Source organism: Homo sapiens, chromosome 4 (genome assembly GCF_000001405.40).
Source record: "Homo sapiens chromosome 4, GRCh38.p14 Primary Assembly".
NCBI classification, from domain to species: Eukaryota; Metazoa; Chordata; class Mammalia; order Primates; family Hominidae; genus Homo; species Homo sapiens.
Window position 1 is genome coordinate 79995018 of NC_000004.12, and position 18994 is coordinate 80014011.

At 35.9% G+C, this 18994-nt stretch overlaps 1 protein-coding gene across 4 annotated transcripts in view; it reads right to left on the bottom strand.

Annotated features, from left to right (window-relative positions):
- ANTXR2 (ANTXR cell adhesion molecule 2) overlaps nt 1-18994 on the bottom strand; it is a 172327-nt gene that overhangs the window by 93872 nt on the left and 59461 nt on the right. For all 4 annotated transcript variants that reach the window (NM_001286780.2, NM_001286781.2, NM_058172.6 and 1 more), the window contains exon 12: nt 13504-13599. In NM_001286780.2, coding sequence (NP_001273709.1) covers nt 13504-13599 — 96 coding nt within the window. The remainder of the gene's footprint in view (nt 1-13503; nt 13600-18994) is intronic.

The window sequence follows — 18994 nt, forward strand, 5'->3', positions numbered from 1 at the left end:
TTTTCCTGTTAGGTCCCAACCAGCCTTCACAGAGTAGCCCACCAACTCCCTGTTGTTTCATCTAGAAGACATAAAACTTTTTAAAGTATATGTTGCTGCACAGTTGAACCATTTATGCATCATTAATTTGGGTTTATATGTTGATTTTGTAATTTTTAAATTATCACTGAAAATTACAAATTTCTTAATGGCAATAATTATTTCTCCTTATTTATACATGTCATCATGCCTAATAAAGTGCTCTGCACACAGCAGATACTAAAGGTACTAAAAATATACTGAAAGTGAAATTGATGGAACTGAGAACGTTCACAAAAAATTATAGTTGATTTCCAAATGTATAAGTCAAATATTGAGGAAAAAATATACAAAAATAATACACAGATAGATTTACATGAAACTAAAATATTACTAGTCCCTAAGAAAATGAAGCACTAAATTTTTTCCTGAACCAATAAAGTCAGATAACCCAATTGTAGAAGAGGAGATAGAAGTATACTAAGTTTATTCATCTGGGAAATAAATTGGATTAACTGTAGGTCCTTGTCAAAATGTCAATTCTTATAAAATGATAAAAAATACATATTACAATGTTTCCACCAGGTTTTTGCTTCTATGCCTTTCCATGGATAAATATGGCCATATGTCTATATGCAATTATATTCACCTTATTCCAGAAAAGAACATTAGAGTTCTTTTCAATAGCATGCCATTATTCTTTTGTGTGAATAATTCATGACTTATTATACATTTAAAATGAATTAAAGTCCTGACAAGTATATTTTCTACATTGTTAATAATGAAAACGAAGCCCTCAAAGCTCTATCTAAATCACATTTTGATCTGGTAAATTAAGGCACACAACCACCATCACAACAAATAATAGTACCTTCAGAAACTGAACCAGAGCTAAGGCTCATCTGTGTGTTGTTAACACTATTAACAGGAACCACCCTTTATTGGTGCTGCCAGATGCCACATGCTCTGTCTCTATAGCTCTTTTATTTTCATAATAACTCTGTGCAATCACTATGTTTATCCTCATTTTAAATATAAGGAGAGGAAAGCTGTAACTTCAATAACTTGCCCAAATATATACAAAGAGAAAACACAGAATTAGGATTCAAACCGAGGACCAAGTCTACCTATCTCCAACTCTGAATTCAACTTCTGCCATATGACATCTTTTTAAAATAAGATTTAGTTTGCAAAGGGAAAGGGTGCAGAAGAAAAAGCCTATGATTTGTTGAGTAGTTGTTACTTACTTGCATGGATGGATGGGTAGATGGACGGATGGATATATGGATGGATGGATGGATGGATGGATGGATGGATGGATGAATGAATGAATTGACAAATAGATGATAGATAATTACACAGATAGTTATATTTAAAACTTTTAATAACTATGTAAGATAGAGTTTATCACCATTTTATATAGATATAACATTTAGCTAATATGCCCAATGTCACCCACATAAAAATTTGGGGACGAGAAACAAAATGGTTTTCTTGTGATGTTCCAAAATCTTCCCTCTCTCCACTCTGCCACACAACCTCATGAGTAACAAAGAAGGGTGAAAATAATCTGAAGCCATTTGGCTCAAAAGCCAAAAATGGCAAAAATCTGTGTTCAACTGACATTCCTACATTTCAGTAAAACTAGTTCAAGAGAAAAGAAAGATTTACTGTTAGTAAAAATACATTAAAAACTACAGTCATGAGAATTCCATTCTTATATCAAATAGTGCAAGAATACACATTCATTTCAGAAAAGAATGTATTCATATGCACCATATTTTATGAGAATTTGCAGATTTTAAAAGGCATAATATTGCCTAGTTGCCAGAATTTTTTCCACTTAGCATCCTTCAGCTCTGTATTGAAGATTCTGGAAAACACTTTCACCACTTTATGAACCATATGCAGAGTTTGATTCTTCTCCAATTTTTTTTTCATTTGTTATTATCATCATCAGGAAGGATTACATCTCATCTACTTAGCTGCTAGAATGAAGATTTCAGTTTGGAAGAGAGCCGATTTCTTTAAAAAAAAAAAAGTTAGCTGCTTCAGGCAACAGTCCTTTTGATCTGCTCATTAACACTTTTCAAATGTTCAAGTGATATGGGCATTCTTTGCGCTAAAAAATGTCAGCACTGGAGCCTGCAGCCAGCTTGATGCAATCATATGTTCCAATATTCAGAAAAGAGTGAAAAGAACTGTCAACATTGAATTGCCTTGGATTAAAAAAAAAAGATATTGTACAATGACTGTAGACTAAGTAGTATTTCAGAACTGATTTTTGCCAGTGACAAAAAAAATGCCCAATTTATCGGCAATGTCATCTAGGTGCCTAGGGACCCACAGACAATAGAGAAACATTCTTAGTATTTACAAGAATTTCTTTAAAATATATGGGGGTCTTCCTTTCATTCTCCCTTTTCTTTTTGATAAGATCAGAGAGGAAGTAAAATGCCTTTCTTTTGACATACAAAAACACAAAGTTCTTACATTACTGCTTGTGAAGTCCTTCTTTTCTGAATCCCACAAAGTATCTAACTTCAACATCTAGCCTTCAACATCCTGACCAAAATATGATTCAAGTTATCTCATCCTCTGCTTTTTATTTCTTCCTCGACAAACTCATCAATGATCAAATAATTCTACTTTGAACAAGTAAATAAGTAGCCTGAAATCTGGACAATAAATATAATTTAGAATGCTAAATGAGAACTAAGAAGAACAGTGTGAGAGTGTATTCTGCCAGGAGTTAAGTAAAGGTGCTTCTGTCAAAGCAAATAAACTGAGACCAGGATGAGTTTGATACTGTCTCGTAAAAGATGCTCTGTCGGAAAGCATCACCATGAAAGCATGAAAGACCTAACATCACACTCTATTTCAAGAAGGCAACCAAACATAAATCATTTTAATTAATGGTGTAAGGAAGGTATATTAAAATTTAAATTACTTATATTTTATTGTGCATTCCAAAAAAGAAATCAGGCTGCTCTCAAAGTACCTCAATAAAGGTACCAGGAGCCCTTCTCAACAATAAAAACAAGTGCAATGTACAGCATTATTACTATTTAGAAAAGAACAGCACAGCTGTTGCTGGCTAACAAAATGATTCTATAGAGTTCCAGCTAGACATATCATCATCGCGTGAGATCAACTAACTTATAGGCAAATTGGGCTTTAAAAACATAAAAAAGACCATTTGTAAATGGTATTTTAAATTAAGATCTATGAGATCTTTATGTAACGTCTTAAATGCACTAAAGAAAAATGAATTTGCAATTTTCCCTTGAGGCTGCAGAACATTGGCCAAGGACACTAAAGCAAGTGAACATTTGTCATTTTCAGCATATTCAGGTATTATTTGCAGCTATATAACACAATCTAACTGACAACACTACAGAAAGCCTTTGTTTGCCACCTCATCTGTAATTCATCTGGACTGTCTGGTTACCCCAAACTATGCAACTATAGGACTGTCATTTCTCCTATCCTGATTAGTAAAACAAATTTGCTCTTAACTCAAAATATCCCCTAATCTAAACAATGATGAAAACATCCATAATTTCTGATGTCACTAACAATTCAAAACAGGATAAGTTTTGTTTTAATGCCTCCTGCCTTTTTAACCTAGGGAAAAAGACAGGATGCTGATGACGGCTTTGTTAAAGAAAGGCAGTTATAGAGGATGGATATGAGGAAGGATACTCAATGAACAGGATACAGACTCTTAAACAGATGTTAAGACATAACCTCACAAAAAATGAGAACTCTTCCCTTCATGGAACAGTTTGAAAACTCAACACAATCTATCATTCACTAATGGTAGTGCCTAAATATTCAAATTTACATGAGGCTCCTTTTTTATAAGGCTTGCTAGATAAAGGTCTCCAAATATCATTGGTTTAGATTTATACTTTTGTATGGAAAGCCCACGCACACAGAGGACACTATCTGCAACATTTAGATTACATCACATCTCTCTGTCATTCTTGAAAAGACTCTTTAGTATGAACTGAAAGATTTAAAATTTAAAAATAGTCTCTTATTAAAAGCATCTTGGCTGACCAGATCTTCTATGGCAGGAGTTTTTCCTTAATCTTTTTTATTATATGCCCCTTGATATGGTTTGGCTCTTTGTCCCCACCCAAATCTCATCTCGAATTGTAATCCCCATAATCCCCACGTGTTGAGGGAGGGACCTGGGTGAGAGGTGACTGAATCATGGAGGCGGTTTTCCCCATGCTGTTCTCATGATAGTGAGCTCTCACAAGATCTGATTATTTAATGAGGCAGTTTCCCCTCCTCTTACTAGGCCTCTCTTTCCTTCTTCATGAAGAAGGTCTTTGCTTCCTCTTCACCTTCTGCCATGATTGTAAGTTTCCTGAGGCCTCCCCAGCTATGCAGAACTGTAAGTCAATTAAACCTTTCTTTATAAATTACCCAGTTTCAGGTAGTTCTTCATAGGAGTGTAAAAATGGACTACTACACCACTCCTTAGCAGTCTGGTGAATCTATCCCATAATAATTATTCTAAATTAAAATGTATAGAATTTAAAGGACCCCAATCATATTGAAATGTAATTTTCAAATTTATTTTTTAAAATATGAGATATGGAAATATGTATGTTTCTTTATTAACTCATTAAGTAATAAGCTCTTGTAATAAGTTTAGAAACTATCATAATTTTAAAGTAGCAATGCCTGTAAAACACATTTCAAAGATATCTGAATAGTAGTCAGTAGTTATGGTGCATGCCTATATTCCCCACTACTTGGGAGGCTGAAGCTGAGGCAGGAGGATCCCTTAAGCCGAGGAGTTCTAGGCTGCAGCAAACTATGATCATGTCACTGCACTCCAGCCTGAGTGACAGAGAACCTGACTCAAAAAAAAATCTGAGCAACTATAAATATGATATGGGATACATGTGATTGCTACTGGTGACAGTTTTCACAACTGCTAATATTTTTGTGGGCAGGGTAAAAAAATCAATGACAAAAACGATAAATTTCAGTTGGAAGAAAAAAGAAAGATATATATTTTTTTCCACATAAATTCACAATTCTTAGGTGAGGCATCCCTGTGGGGTATATGTAGCAGCAACTAGACAAAAGTTGAACTGCTTCTACTTCAGAGTTTCATTATAATTAATAAATTCTTATGTAGTTGTATCTTAGTTCCTACTAAAAATGATTACAAAGGCCACATTTCCCATTGTATATATATTATGAGAAACAAATTTTAAATGAAGTCAATGAAAATTATATCAAGAGTGATTGTATCATAAATTTCCTCAAGCACAATACTTCTCCATAATTGACAGAATTTTTTACTATAACTAGCAAAAAGGTACTCTATTTTGAATTTGATTTCCAAGTAAAGCAATATCAATTTTCTCAATTTTAAGAATTGGGATAGGTGAAGAAGATGCATTCAATAATAAGTATTCACCATGCAACATGCCTGGTTTACAATGATAGGTAGAATACACACAGTACCTGCCTTCATGAAATTATTAGTCTATAAGGGGAGAGAGATTTTAAACAAATAATACATAAATCATTATCTAATTGTAATTTTACTTAAGCATCACCAAAAGGGTAACATTTGCTCACCTGACAGGATAATGTTATAAGAATTTTGGCTAAAAATTTAATATAAAACATCATAGAAGGGATGTTTCTGACTTTGACATGTTTCTTTTTCCTGATATAAAACTGGTACAGCTAACCAGGTAAACGTCATAGTTTCACAGACACAGTAATTAGTCAAATGTTCAAATTCTTTGCTTTCCTCCATAGAGTGAAGGTCAATTTCTAGCTTTTAAGAGGTTCAATAGTTCAATATCTGAATATGAATGAAACTGTGCTGGCTCCTCTAGCAAATCATATCACCCCTGAGGAAGCTGTCCATGGATCTCTGTTGTCAAATGATTCTAATAACATATATGCGTGAGGCACTTCTGAAAATTGTAAACCCGTCTCTTCCAAAAATCCCTTGTTGCTCTAAGATTGTAAGTAAATTCTACTCAGTATATGAAGCATTATGCATATTAACTTCAAAGTTACAAAACAGAGGGGTTATTCTAATTTTAAAGGATGCATATTGGTTTCAATAGCCTTGGTACCATTGCAAATTTTTTTTTATTATACTTTAAGTTTTAGGGTACATGTGCACATTGTGCAGGTTAGTTACATATGTATACATGTGCCATGCTGGTGCGCTGCACCCACTAACTCGTCATCTAGCATTAGGTATATCTCCCGATGCTATCCCTCCCCCCTCCCCCCACCCCACAACAGTCCCCAGAGTGTGATATTCCCCTTCCTGTGTCCATGTGATCTCATTGTTCAATTCCCACATTCTGAGTAAACTATCACAAGAACAAAAAACCAAACACCGCAAATATTTTAAAGAATATTTCATTGCCTCTTATTTTGCAATTGCTTGTACCCTATAAAAAGTTCAGGGTTGAAAAAAATGTATATTCTGTTGATTTGGGGTGGAGAGTTCTGTAGATGTCTATTAGGTCCGCTTGGTGCAGAGCTGAGTTCAATTCCTGGGTATCCTTGTTAACTTTCTGTCTCGTTGATCTGTCTAATGTTGACAGTGGGGTGTTAAAGTCTCCCATTATTATTGTGTGGGAGTCTAAGTCTCTTTGTAGGTCACTCAGGACTTGCTTTATGAATCTGGGTGCTCCTGTATTGGGTGCATATATATTTAGGATAGTTAGCTCTTCCTGTTGAATTGATCCCTTTACCGTTATGTAATGGCCTTCTTTGTCTCTTTTGATCTTTGTTGGTTTAAATTCTGTTTTATCAGAGACTAGGATTGCAACCCCTGCCTTTTTTTGTTTTCCATTTGCTTGGTAGATCTTCCTCCATCCTTTTATTTTGAGCCTATGTGTGTCTCTGCACGTGAGATGGGTTTCCTGAAAATGGCCATACTGCCCAAGGTAATTTATAGATTCAATGCCATCCCCATCAAGCTACCAATGACTTTCTTCACAGAATTGGAAAAAACTACTTTAAAGTTCGTATGGAACCAAAAAAGAGCCCGCATCACCAAGTCAATCCTAAGCCAAAAGAACAAAGCTGGAGGCATCACGCTACCTGACTTCAAACTATACTACAAGGGTACAGTAACCAAAACAGCATGGTACTGGTACCAAAACAGAGGTATAGATAAACGGAACAGAACAGAGCCCTCAGAAATAATGCCGCATATCTACAACTAACCGATCTTTGACGAACCTGACAAAAACAAGCAATGGGGAAAGGATTCCTTATTTAATAAATGGTGCTGGGAAAACTGGCTAGCCATGTGTAGAAAGCTGAAACTGGATCCCTTCCTTACACCTTATACAAAAATTAATTCAAGATGAAATAAAGACTTAAACGTTAGACCTAAAACCATAAAAACCCTAGAAGAAAACCTAGGCATTACCATTCAGGACATAGGCATGGGCAAGGACTTCATGTCTAAAACACCAAAAGCAATGGCAACAAAAGCCAAAATTGACAAACGGGATCTAATTAAACTAAAGAGCTTCTGCACAGCAAAAGAAACTACCATCAGAGTCAACAGGCAACCTACAAAATGGGAGAAAATTTTTGCAACCTACTCATCTGACAAAGGGCTCATATCCAGAATCTACAATGAACTCAAAAAAATTTACAAGAAAAAAACCAACAACCCTATCAAAAAGTGGGTGAAGGACATGAACAGACACTTCTCAAAAGAAGACATTTATGCAGCCAAAAAACACATGAAAAAATGCTCACCATCACTGGCCATCAGAGAAATGCAAATCAAAACCACAATGAGATACCATCTCACACCAGTTAGAATGGCAATCATTAAAAAGTCAGGAAACAACAGGTGCTGGAGAGGATGTGGAGAAATAGGAACACTTTTACACTGTTGGTGGGACTGTAAACTAGTTTAACCATTGTGAAAGTCAGTGTGGCCATTCCTCAGGGATCTAGAACTAGAAATACCATTTGACCCAGCCATCCCATTACTGGGTATATACCCAAAGGACTATAAATCAGGCTGCTATAAAGACATATGCACACGTATGTTTATTGCGGCACTACACACAATAGCAAAGACTTGGAACCAACGCAAATGTCCATGAATGATAGATTGGATTAAGAAAATGTGGCACATATACACCATGGAATACTATGCAGCCATAAAAAATGATGAGTTCATGTCCTTTGTAGGGACATGGATGAAATTGGAAATCAGCATTCTCAGTAAACTATCGCAAGAACAAAAAACCAAACACCGCATATTCTCACTCATAGGTGGGAATTGAACAATGAGAACACATGGACACAGGAAGGGGAACATCACACTCTGGGGACTGTTGTGGGGTGGGGGGAGGGGGGAAGGATAGCTTTAGGAGATATACCTAATGCTAAATGACAAGTTAATGGGTGCAGCACACCAGCATGGCACATGTATACATATGTAACTAACCTGCACATTGTGCACATGTACCCTAAAACTTAAAGTATAATAATAATAAAATAAAATAAAATAAAAAGAAAATGGACAAAATACATTTAGAGCCATTTCACCAAAGATATAAGCAAATAATGGCAGATAAGCACACGAAAACATGTTCCTCACTAGCTGTTATAGAAACTCAAATTAAAACCACGATGAGATATCATTACATACCTATTAGAATGGCAATAATAAAAATAGAGAAAACACCAAATGCTGAAAATCTGAAGGAGCAACTGAATCACTCATTCATTGTTAGTGGGCATGTGAGATGGTACCACCACTCTGGGTAACAGTTTGGCAGTTTCCCATAAAACTAGATATACAACTACTTTATAACTCAGGAGTCACAGATGGCATTTACCTAGAAAAATGAAAACTTAAGTTTATGTAAAAACCTGTACATAAATGTTCATAGTAGCTTTATTCATAATAGGGAAAACCTATAAACAACCTAAATGTTTTTCAACAGGTGAATAATTCAACAGACTGTGGTACATCTACACCATTAATTACTATGCAGCAGTAAAAACAGAGTGGACTACGACTACACACAGAAGCTTGGGTGGATCTCGGGAATTATGCTGAATGAAAAAAAGCCAGTCTCAAAATATTACATGCTGTATGATTCCATTTATATAACATTTTTGAAATAAAAAAATTATGAAAAAAAATAAAATAAAAAAATAAAAAGTTCAGGGTTTTTGTTTTCTTTTCTTTTTTGTAATGAGTTTGTCTGAAAACATAAAAATTCCCCAACTCTGGGGAATATCAGAAAATTCAGGAGATAATATAGGTTTCTTCTTGCTGCTATAACAAATTATCATACACTTAGTGTCTTAAAACCACAGAAACTTTTTTTTTATACTTCTGGAAGTCTGGAGTCTGAAGTGAGTCTTACAGGGTTAAAAATCAGGTGTTGGCCAAGCTGGTTCTTCCTGTAGGCTCTAGGGATGGATTTGTTTCTTGCCTCTTCCAGCTTCTAGTGGCTGCCAGCATTCCTTGGCTTGTGGCTGCATCACTCCAATTTCTGCATCTATGGTTACACTGCCTTCTTTCCATCTATAGTCTAATCTCCCTCTGTCTCCCTTTTATAAGGCTTGGACTGCATTTATGACCCATCTAGATCATCCTGAATAATGTCAAGATTTTTAATTTAATCACATCTGTAAAGTCCCTTTTGCTATATCAGGTAACATTACAAGGTTCCAGGGATTGAGACCTGCATGTCTTTAGGGATCTTTATTCACTTTATTGAAGGAGGCTTTTTCAAACTGCATGACCTCTGGAGCTGCCTCAGTCTACCCAAACCCACTTCCTCTCCAGGAGAATTACCACCATTGGAAACCTGACAGCCACTGTTCTGAAAGACTTGCTGTTGAGGCAGAAAAAAGAAAAAAAAAACCTGAGAATCTCTGTCTAAAATATAAGTAACATTGTCATCACTGACTCATTGATTAGAGGTCTATGAGATTTTAAACTCTGGATAACAAGTGATTCAATCATGTTATAAAATATGACTTAATATTTCATATTTTGGCATTTTATAAAACATGAAATGACTGAATGAAGAATATGTGACAGATATTGAGATTTCTATTCAGGGAGTTTTCTTTCCATGTTCTCTGTATTGATAAGAGCTCCTGAGCATACGATGCTCATGGAGGTGGATAGCTGACACACCATAAATGTGCCTGAGAATAGACATTTTAAGCTCTTTAGTCATGTTTCAGTTGAAAGATTAGATTTAAATATTTGCCACTAGTTCTTAAAACATATTCAAGCAAAAAGAAATTTGCACAACACCACGCTGATAAATAGATAAATTTCATTTTCTATTAAAAAGTTCATTGCTAGGAATGACAGTCAAAGTCATATTGATCTCCAATAATTTAACGCTACTAAGAATTATTTAAATGGTCACATCCTAATTTCAGCATTGCACAAATATATAACCTAAAAGAAACAAAATAAGATAAACACCCTGCGATTGTATTATAATACCCTCTGAAAACTCAAGATCCTTTTCCACAAGGTTATTGTCACACTACCTCCTTTTTACATCATGTCTTCATTTTTCTCTAGCTCACTTAATTTCAGCTTGAGATTCCAGCTGTCTATACTTTGTTAGAAGTACTTTGTTCTGGCTATATTTAAGGTGCAATATCTGTCACTGCCTTTCCATTTCCATTGTTAATGGAACTCAGTTGGATACAGTCTTAAATAATTTTTGCCAGGACTAGACTTTAGCACTACTGTGAAGCCAGCAAAGTTTCTTTCAGGTAATTAGACTGATCGAATCTCTCCAGTGGCTTCTCGTCATCCCTGGGAAGAGATCAGACTTTCTATTACAAGACATAGGAGGTCCTCCCCTATGGGTTCATGCCAAAATCCAAACCATCATTCACCTAGCACAGTAGGTCTCAGCCTAGCACTTCTGAAAACATGTCAGAATAACTCATGATTCCACATGCACTTCATCTGAAATGTCATTCAAGAACTGTCAACATCTTATTCATGACTCAGAACTGAATTGGGAGTCATCAGGTCAGTCAGGTTTCTCTGAAATGCTCCCTTTAGTCTTGGCAAACCCTTCCTCCTTTATGTTTCTACTGTTCTTTACACACGCCGCTATTAGGACTTCAGTTACCTTCCATTTACACTTATTTGCACACATTTCTATGTTTCCATATTAAAATGTGAATTTCCATATCATATTATAAGCACTTTTGTATCCCCAGTTCCTAGCACAGTACTGACACCTACTAGATAATCAATATTAGCCAAGGGCTGAATTCAGAATTTCACCTCTCCTTTCTTCCTGCTTTAAAATCTACTTTAGAAAACGTTTGCTATCATTCACTTATATGTAGGTATAAATATAAGTTCATACTTATATGAACTTATAAGGGCTAATTGCTTTTTAATCTATATTTCTAAGGGTAAAATAAAGGAAGTTTCCTCTATTAAATAAGTTCAGGAAATTAATAAGCATTTGTGATGTTTCTGAGGACGGGAAGCCTTTCTGACATCCTGATACTCCACCATTAAAGGGCTCCCTTTATGCCTCGTAGAAAGTAACTCCATGATTTGAGATCTGTAGAGTCCAAGGCTTTAGAGTACCATGTATCTAGTCTCTGATCTAGTCACCTGATGATTGGCTCCTCTCCTTAATATCCAAAATGACAGTCAAAACCCATATTTGAGCACATTTCATTTTGCATATGTCTTTTTAAAAATCATACACTTTGACACTTCTGAGCCCTCTGGTCAATACTAAATGAAATTGCAAAGTGATAATTTAAAAAAAGGAGGGGAAATGCACCACTGCAAAGTTTAAATTAAAAAACCAAGGAGCACAAATTACATTAGGGCATCTTTTTGCTTTTTAATGTGATACTCAAGAATGCTAGCCACCCTAAAATAGCCATAACTAGATAATCAAGATTACAACAGGAAACTGAGCATAAATTGCTATGGCAGGAAACTGATTAGTTCAGCAAAGAGACAGGATGCGTCTTGTCTCTACTGTTATCTGAGTTAATTCTATGCCTCCTCCATGGGCCAACTGCTCTGAGATAAAGGATTGTCAAGTTGCCTCATGAAAGCAAACTGAAGTACAACTAATAATAAACGCAGGGCTAAAACAAAGCACATCTGAAATTGCAAGGATGATGAAATCAGTCAGCAAACATGAGAGCGGCGGGAAAAGGCAGTCTTGCAGTATTATGTAAAACATTACCATGAACTACACAATATTAAGTTCTACACAATGTGCTTATAATAAAAGGAATATTCTCAAAATAAATAGTAGGCATGATTTGGAAGAGGGCTTCCTTAAGATAATTTTTTTTCTATGAAACCTGAACAATCTAAATTGGATTGCTTGAAATGTGTAGAATGATACCCCCCACCAACATCTCCATAACTTAATTACCTGGTACTGTGAATATGTTATCTTAATGGCAAAAGGGATTTTGCAGAAGTGATTAAGGTTCAGGATCTTGAGATGGGAGATGATCCTGGATTAGCTAAGTGCGTCCAATCTAATCCCATGGTTCCTTAAAACTGGAGGACCTTTCCCAGCTGGGTTCAGAGTTAGAGGGAGATGTGACTACAGAAAAATGGTTGAAAAGATGCAACACATCTGGCTTTGCAGATAGAGAAAGGGGGGTATGAGGCAAAGAATCTGAGTAGCCTTTAGAAGCTGGAAAAGGCAAAGGAATGGCTTCTTCCTTAGAGCATTCAGAAAGAAACACATCCCTTCCAACACATTTTAGTCCACGTAAACCCAGTGAGACTCATGTGAAAGCTGTGATTAGACAGCTGTTAGATAATAAATTTGTGTTGCTTTTAGTCAACATATGTGTGGCAATTTGTTACAGCAGCAATAGATAACTGATATACACCCATATTCTTTCACAGGCTTTATACAAACACAAAAAATGACACAAACTGAAACTCCTCGTCATTACTCCAAAAGTAGCAGTTTAACAGATATGCTGACAATTGTGCATGACTAATTTCCGAACAAATATTTTTCAGTAGCAAACAGAGAAGGTCATGAAATGGTAGACCCTTCAAAGAGGAAATGAATAATTAAATGAGCACTTAAAAAAACTGACAAATTATCAACTCCTCTCAATGAACCCAAAAGAAAACATCATTCAATTTACTTGAATTTCTCTTGCACTTGAATGAAAATACCCTTTATCCCAACTACTTCCCCTATTTTTCTCTCCTCCTCTTCCCACAAACCTGATTTAAAAGTGCTTTTTAGATGAATTTTTTAAATAAATATTTACTGACCTGCATGTTTTCTAGAATTTATTATAGTAGTGAAGACAATTAAAATTCATTTTGCAAACTGAAACTTTGCTGTTATTAACATGGCATTTATTCATATTTCAGACCTTACTTTACATCTTTCTAATTTTTTTTAAGTAGAGTTGTAAATCCTTCTTACTCACCACTTTGCAGCAAAGGGGCCAAAACCACCACATCAAACCGATCCCCAGGAGTAGCAGTAACACCAAAATAACAATGATGGCTGCGATCCCGTTAGACTAAAGTAGGCAAAAAGCAAAAACAAAGCAGTCAGCACAGCTTATGGTCAAATTCCAAATGTATATATATTTTAAGGAAACACCAGAAAATAATTCAGAAAGTATAATGTCAAACTAGATTTTAACTATATTATTTTAATTTCTTGAAATTCTACAAATGTATCTTCTATTTAATATATATTATGTTTTATGTTATATTGTTGTGACAGGAAATAATAAACAAAAACTTTCCCAAAATGCTGCAGATTCTTTACAAATACATCTAAAAGGAATTTAGGAAAAATCACTAATCAGGATTAGACTGGTCTCTATCTTTCATGTAAGGATTATTTTGGTTCAAAGCAAATTACCCATAGGCAGAATTTAGGCAGAATCCTGCAGACTTTTTGATGGTGAAACACAATTTATTGCATGTAGTTAAATAATAAGATGAATATTAAAAAAAATTATCAAGTAGATGACAAACCAACAATGGTTCTTGTTGGGAAATGGTATATACACATCAATGCAAGAATGCAATCTCATGCATTCATAAATCAGATGTTCTCTCATTGAAGCTGAAATATGACCTACACAAAAACCACAGTGGTGTTCTTTCCCTTCCTAACTACTGAGCTCCTCCAGCCTTAAGGCACCTACTCTGGGCGCTGTTCTTAAACCCTTTCATATAAAAACCACCTACTCATTTTACAGGGCTCATATTAAGTCACTTCATGGAAGTCTTCCTTGGACCCTTTGACTATAAAATGCCCCTTTGATTAAACAACTCATATTTCTCTATACTTTAATCTTTAGTACTTATCACGATGCAACGAATTATGAATTTTGTGATTATTTGTTTAATTTATATTTTCTACCATGATTTATTGTGAGCTCTAGGAAGTCAGGGGTTACATCTAGCCTACTTAGCACCGTATACTCCATGTCTGGCATTTAAAAACTACTTACTGAGGCCGGGCACAATGGCTCACGCCTGTAATCCCAGCACTTTGGGAGGCCGAGGCAGGTGATCACGAGGTCAGGAGTATGAGACCAGCCTGGCCAACATAGTGAAACCCCATCTCTACTAAAAATACAAAAATTAGCTGGGCGTGGTGGCGGGCACCTGTAATCCCAGCTACTCAGGAGGCTGAGGCAGGAGAATTGCTTGAACCCGGGAGGTGGAGTTTGCCATGAGCCGAGATTGCACCACTGCATTCCAGCCTGGGAGACAGAGTGAGACTCCATCTCAAAAAAAAAAAAAAGAAAGAAAGAAAGAAAAAACTACTTACTGAAAGAATGAACTCTAAAGAAAAAAAACAGCAAAAGACATGGATACAAAGAAGAATGTTTACTGAACTTTTACTGTACAAACAGTTTCCAAGGGAACAAGGGGTATCTCCCAAATGCCTAATCCCTAGGATCCTCAGTAATAATGTTTTGTTTTGTGGTTTTTTTTTTTATGAGAAAAAATTCAGGGAAGAAAAGAAAAAGAGCAAAAGAGAAAGAAGATTAATACTAATACTTTATAGAAATTTTCAGGCAAATACCTAAGTAGCCTGTTCTTAGAAAGAACATTCCAAAGTGCATCTTTCTTTACAAAATTCTAAATATTCATGAATAAATCAGCTACCGTCCACAGGCACAAACACATTAAGCTCTAAAATCTAGGCAAACAAGAATATAACGGAAAAAGGATGTCATAGAAACGCATGGAAAACTGTGGTACCCTATGGGAGAAATATTGTCAAATGTATAAATCTTGATCTCACCTTCAAAAATATGGTCTTATGTAAGACAGCCCCTATCTGTGACTGTCCATGTACAGAAGGAATACATTTCTCACCAGACCTTTCCCACATGAGGATCCAGCCACAGCACTCATAGAAATGGCACACCATTTGGCTGTGCTATACAGCTTTCAAAAGGGCTCTATGAACATTTGGTTTCCCCTTTTCTTAGAATTCACACCCATGTTCAGAAATAAGGACATGCAACTAGAGGCCATGAAACTGCTAAAAATTTAGTGGTTAGTTTGTTTCTTCTATGCATGTGCCAAGAACAGGAAAATCAGAAAATTGCACTGACAGAACACAAAGTAGATGGGCTAGCCCTGCTAGATACTCAAAATTTTTTATTTTTCCCTTAAAAAAAGCCTCCATTAGTAGCATCGACAAAATATTATGCATCTCCAGATACAAATATAATTTATTATTACAATATTATCATATCGACTGATTGCAAAGATTTGTCTTAAAAAAATTAAAAATGGCCGGGCACAGTGGCTCACACCTGTAATCGCAGCACTTTGGGAGGTTGAGGTGGGCGGATCACAAGGTCAGGAGATCGAGACCATCCTGGCTAACATGGTGAAACCCCATCTCTACTAAAAATACAAAAAATCAGCCAGGCATGGTGGTGGGCGCCTGTAGTCCCAGCTACTCGGGAGGCTGAGGCAGGAGAATGGCGTGAATCTGGGAGGCGGAGGTTGCAGTGAGCCAAGATCATGCCACGCACTCCAGCCTGGGCGACAGAGAAAGACTCCATCTCAAAAAAAATAAATTAAATAAATTAATTAAAAATAAATTATGCACTTTCTAAAGACCTACAGACCTAGTATATATATAAGCCAAACATGATGGGAAAAGCGTCAGGGAAAATGCAACCTGGTCTTGCTATCTATCTATCTATCTATCTATCTATCTATCTATCTATCTATCTGTCTATCATCTATCTATCTATCTATCTGTCTGTCTATCATCTATCTATCTGATGACTATTTCATTTACTGGATTCTTTTTGAAATATTCAATATCAGGAATTAGGAAACTATGGCACAAAGGTCAAATCCAGCCAATCTATTTTGTAAGACCCTGGCAAGCCAAGAACATTTCTACCCTGTTTAAGAAAAATGACATTTGAGTAATAAATATTTATTAGAACTTTTTCAGTTCTAAAGAGAGGCATGCCTATGTAAAACTGAGAAGCTTCTAGTTTCGCTCGTGATATAGATCTATATGTAATCAAATCTAGTTTCATACTCTTCTTCATCTGACTCTTAAGTCCATAGTTTGCAACATGGTATCTGATTACGGGACTGAATTCTGTAGTGTTCCACATTTCCCCAATATGTTTATAAAGTTTTGGGCAAAATGAAACTGTTTTTCTTTCATGACTAACATCTTTCTTGCTCTGATAGTGGCTCTGGCTATCAAAACAAACACAATGGGAAAGCCTGAATTTGTATCCAGTTAACCGAGCTGATGTCTGGGATTAGTGTATTCAGGGACTGTGTCATCTGCATCTAATTTCCTTTTCTTCACTAAAAGCAAGTTATAGAATAAAAAACTTTATTCTGCCAAATATAACTAAAATTCTAGTGAAGAGAATCATAGAGATATAAAAACAAATCAGGGTGACTGCTGCCCTTGCAACATAACTATGGGACAGAGGAATCACTGGAAAGTTTCAAAAGAGCATTAGTTATTATTGCTGCAATCTATCTAGAAAATAGTGAATTCACAGCAGCCACATTAGAATGAAACAGACACAGAACGGGGAAAATGGGTCTCCACAATTTTGTTTCATGAATTTAGAGTTAGGGAAAGAAAACAGAGTCATGAAACAGATAATTATTTCATTTACTGGATTCTTTTTGGAATATTTGATATCAGGAATTAGGAAACTATGGTACAAGAGTCAAATCCAGCCAATCTATTTGGTAAGACCCCAGCAAGCTAATACCTTTTTTTTTTTTACAGTATTACATAAAGCTGAAAAAATCAAAAGAAGAATATGTTACAAGAAATTCCAATGTCAGTGTACATAGTTTTACTGAACACAGCCATTTGTTTATATAATGTCTATAGCTGTTTTTGCACTACAATGGTAGAGTTAAGTAGTTGTGACAGAGACCATATGGCCCCCAAAGCCTTAAGTATGTATTTACTATTTGGCCTTCTACAGGAAAAATTTGCCAACCCTTGTCCTATATAAATCAATGTAGAATCTGGTTTAAAATGGCAACTTGTGGAAGTGTTCAGTCAGGGGGTGGGGGAGACAGACGTGGGTTCAATTCTGAATTATAGCATTTATCAGACTGCAAAACTGGGCAAGTAACAACCTTTCAGAGCCTCCAGGCTTCAAGTATCCCTTTTGCAGGGACAGTAAGGACTGAAACCACCTGCTGTTACACTCATCAAACCATGCACCTCTTTGAGGGCTGGGTCCACATAAGAAGAAGTACCTTCTAATGTATTTGGATAAAAGTGCACTGAATGTTGGAGGTATCTTCCTGTTCCTCAGTTTTCTCATCTGCAAAATTAACATAATCTGAACAGCCTCCTCTTGGATTGTGAGTGCTAAATGAAGCCATAAAGGATTTAGCACATATACAGCAGAGCTGAACACAGCGTCTAGCACTTAATACTTGCTCAGCAAACAGGTTCTTGGTATTGTTATTGCAAAAGAGTCAGAAGACCAGTGATTCCAAGAGAAAAAAAAGGACATCTTTCCATTATGTTTTTAAAAGCAGAGATCCATTTTAAAGATCTTTTGAGGAGAGATGAACATAAAGGATTGTCTAAATACAAACCCTCCTCAGACTCTAATCTTAAATCTCTTAAATCTAAAACTTAGTTTCCCCATTTTAAACTAGATATATGGTTACTTTCAATCATTCATTTAGGAAATAATTTTGGAGCACTTGCTCTGTGTAAGGACCAGTTGTGAGAGACGGGCAATAAGCACAGCACAAGCCCTGCCGTCAATGTCTCAAGGCTGGTAAGAAAGGCTCAGAAGCAAACAGGAACTCACAGCTCAGTTCCTAAGGCCTCAATAGGACTGAGCCCTGGATGTTCCTGAAGCATACAGAGGAGCTTCTTTATTTGTGAGATTTTAACAAGGACTAACCAATGACTACAATAATAGTGTTCTACTTTGTTTGGCTTTCAAATGCCTGAGCAAGTAAAAAGCATTATCCTCACAATGAGCAATATCGCTAACTGCATTTCACCTGTTCACCATATGCAAATATGCCTGAAAGACTAAATATCATTTAAATCCAAGGTCCAGGTATTCATCATAGTATTACCCACTATACTCTTCTATTTTCAATAGATATTTCATACATAAATCAGCAGGTGCATCTCATCAGCGCAAGTCTCACTTTTCATATCTATGGAATGGTAATATCACTACCACAGGCAACAGGAATTTGAGGTTAAATACAAGGCAATGGTTAAATTTAAGGAGGAAAAATAATTTTCCTATAATTACTGTCAACCTGAAAAATTGAATTGTAGTATTTATTATCCTGTAATAACTAGTGGAATAATAAAAGTCATAAGAAAGAGAAGGCTTCAAGTCATCAGCCTTGGCAGACACGGGGAGATCACCGGTGACCCCTCGGACATTT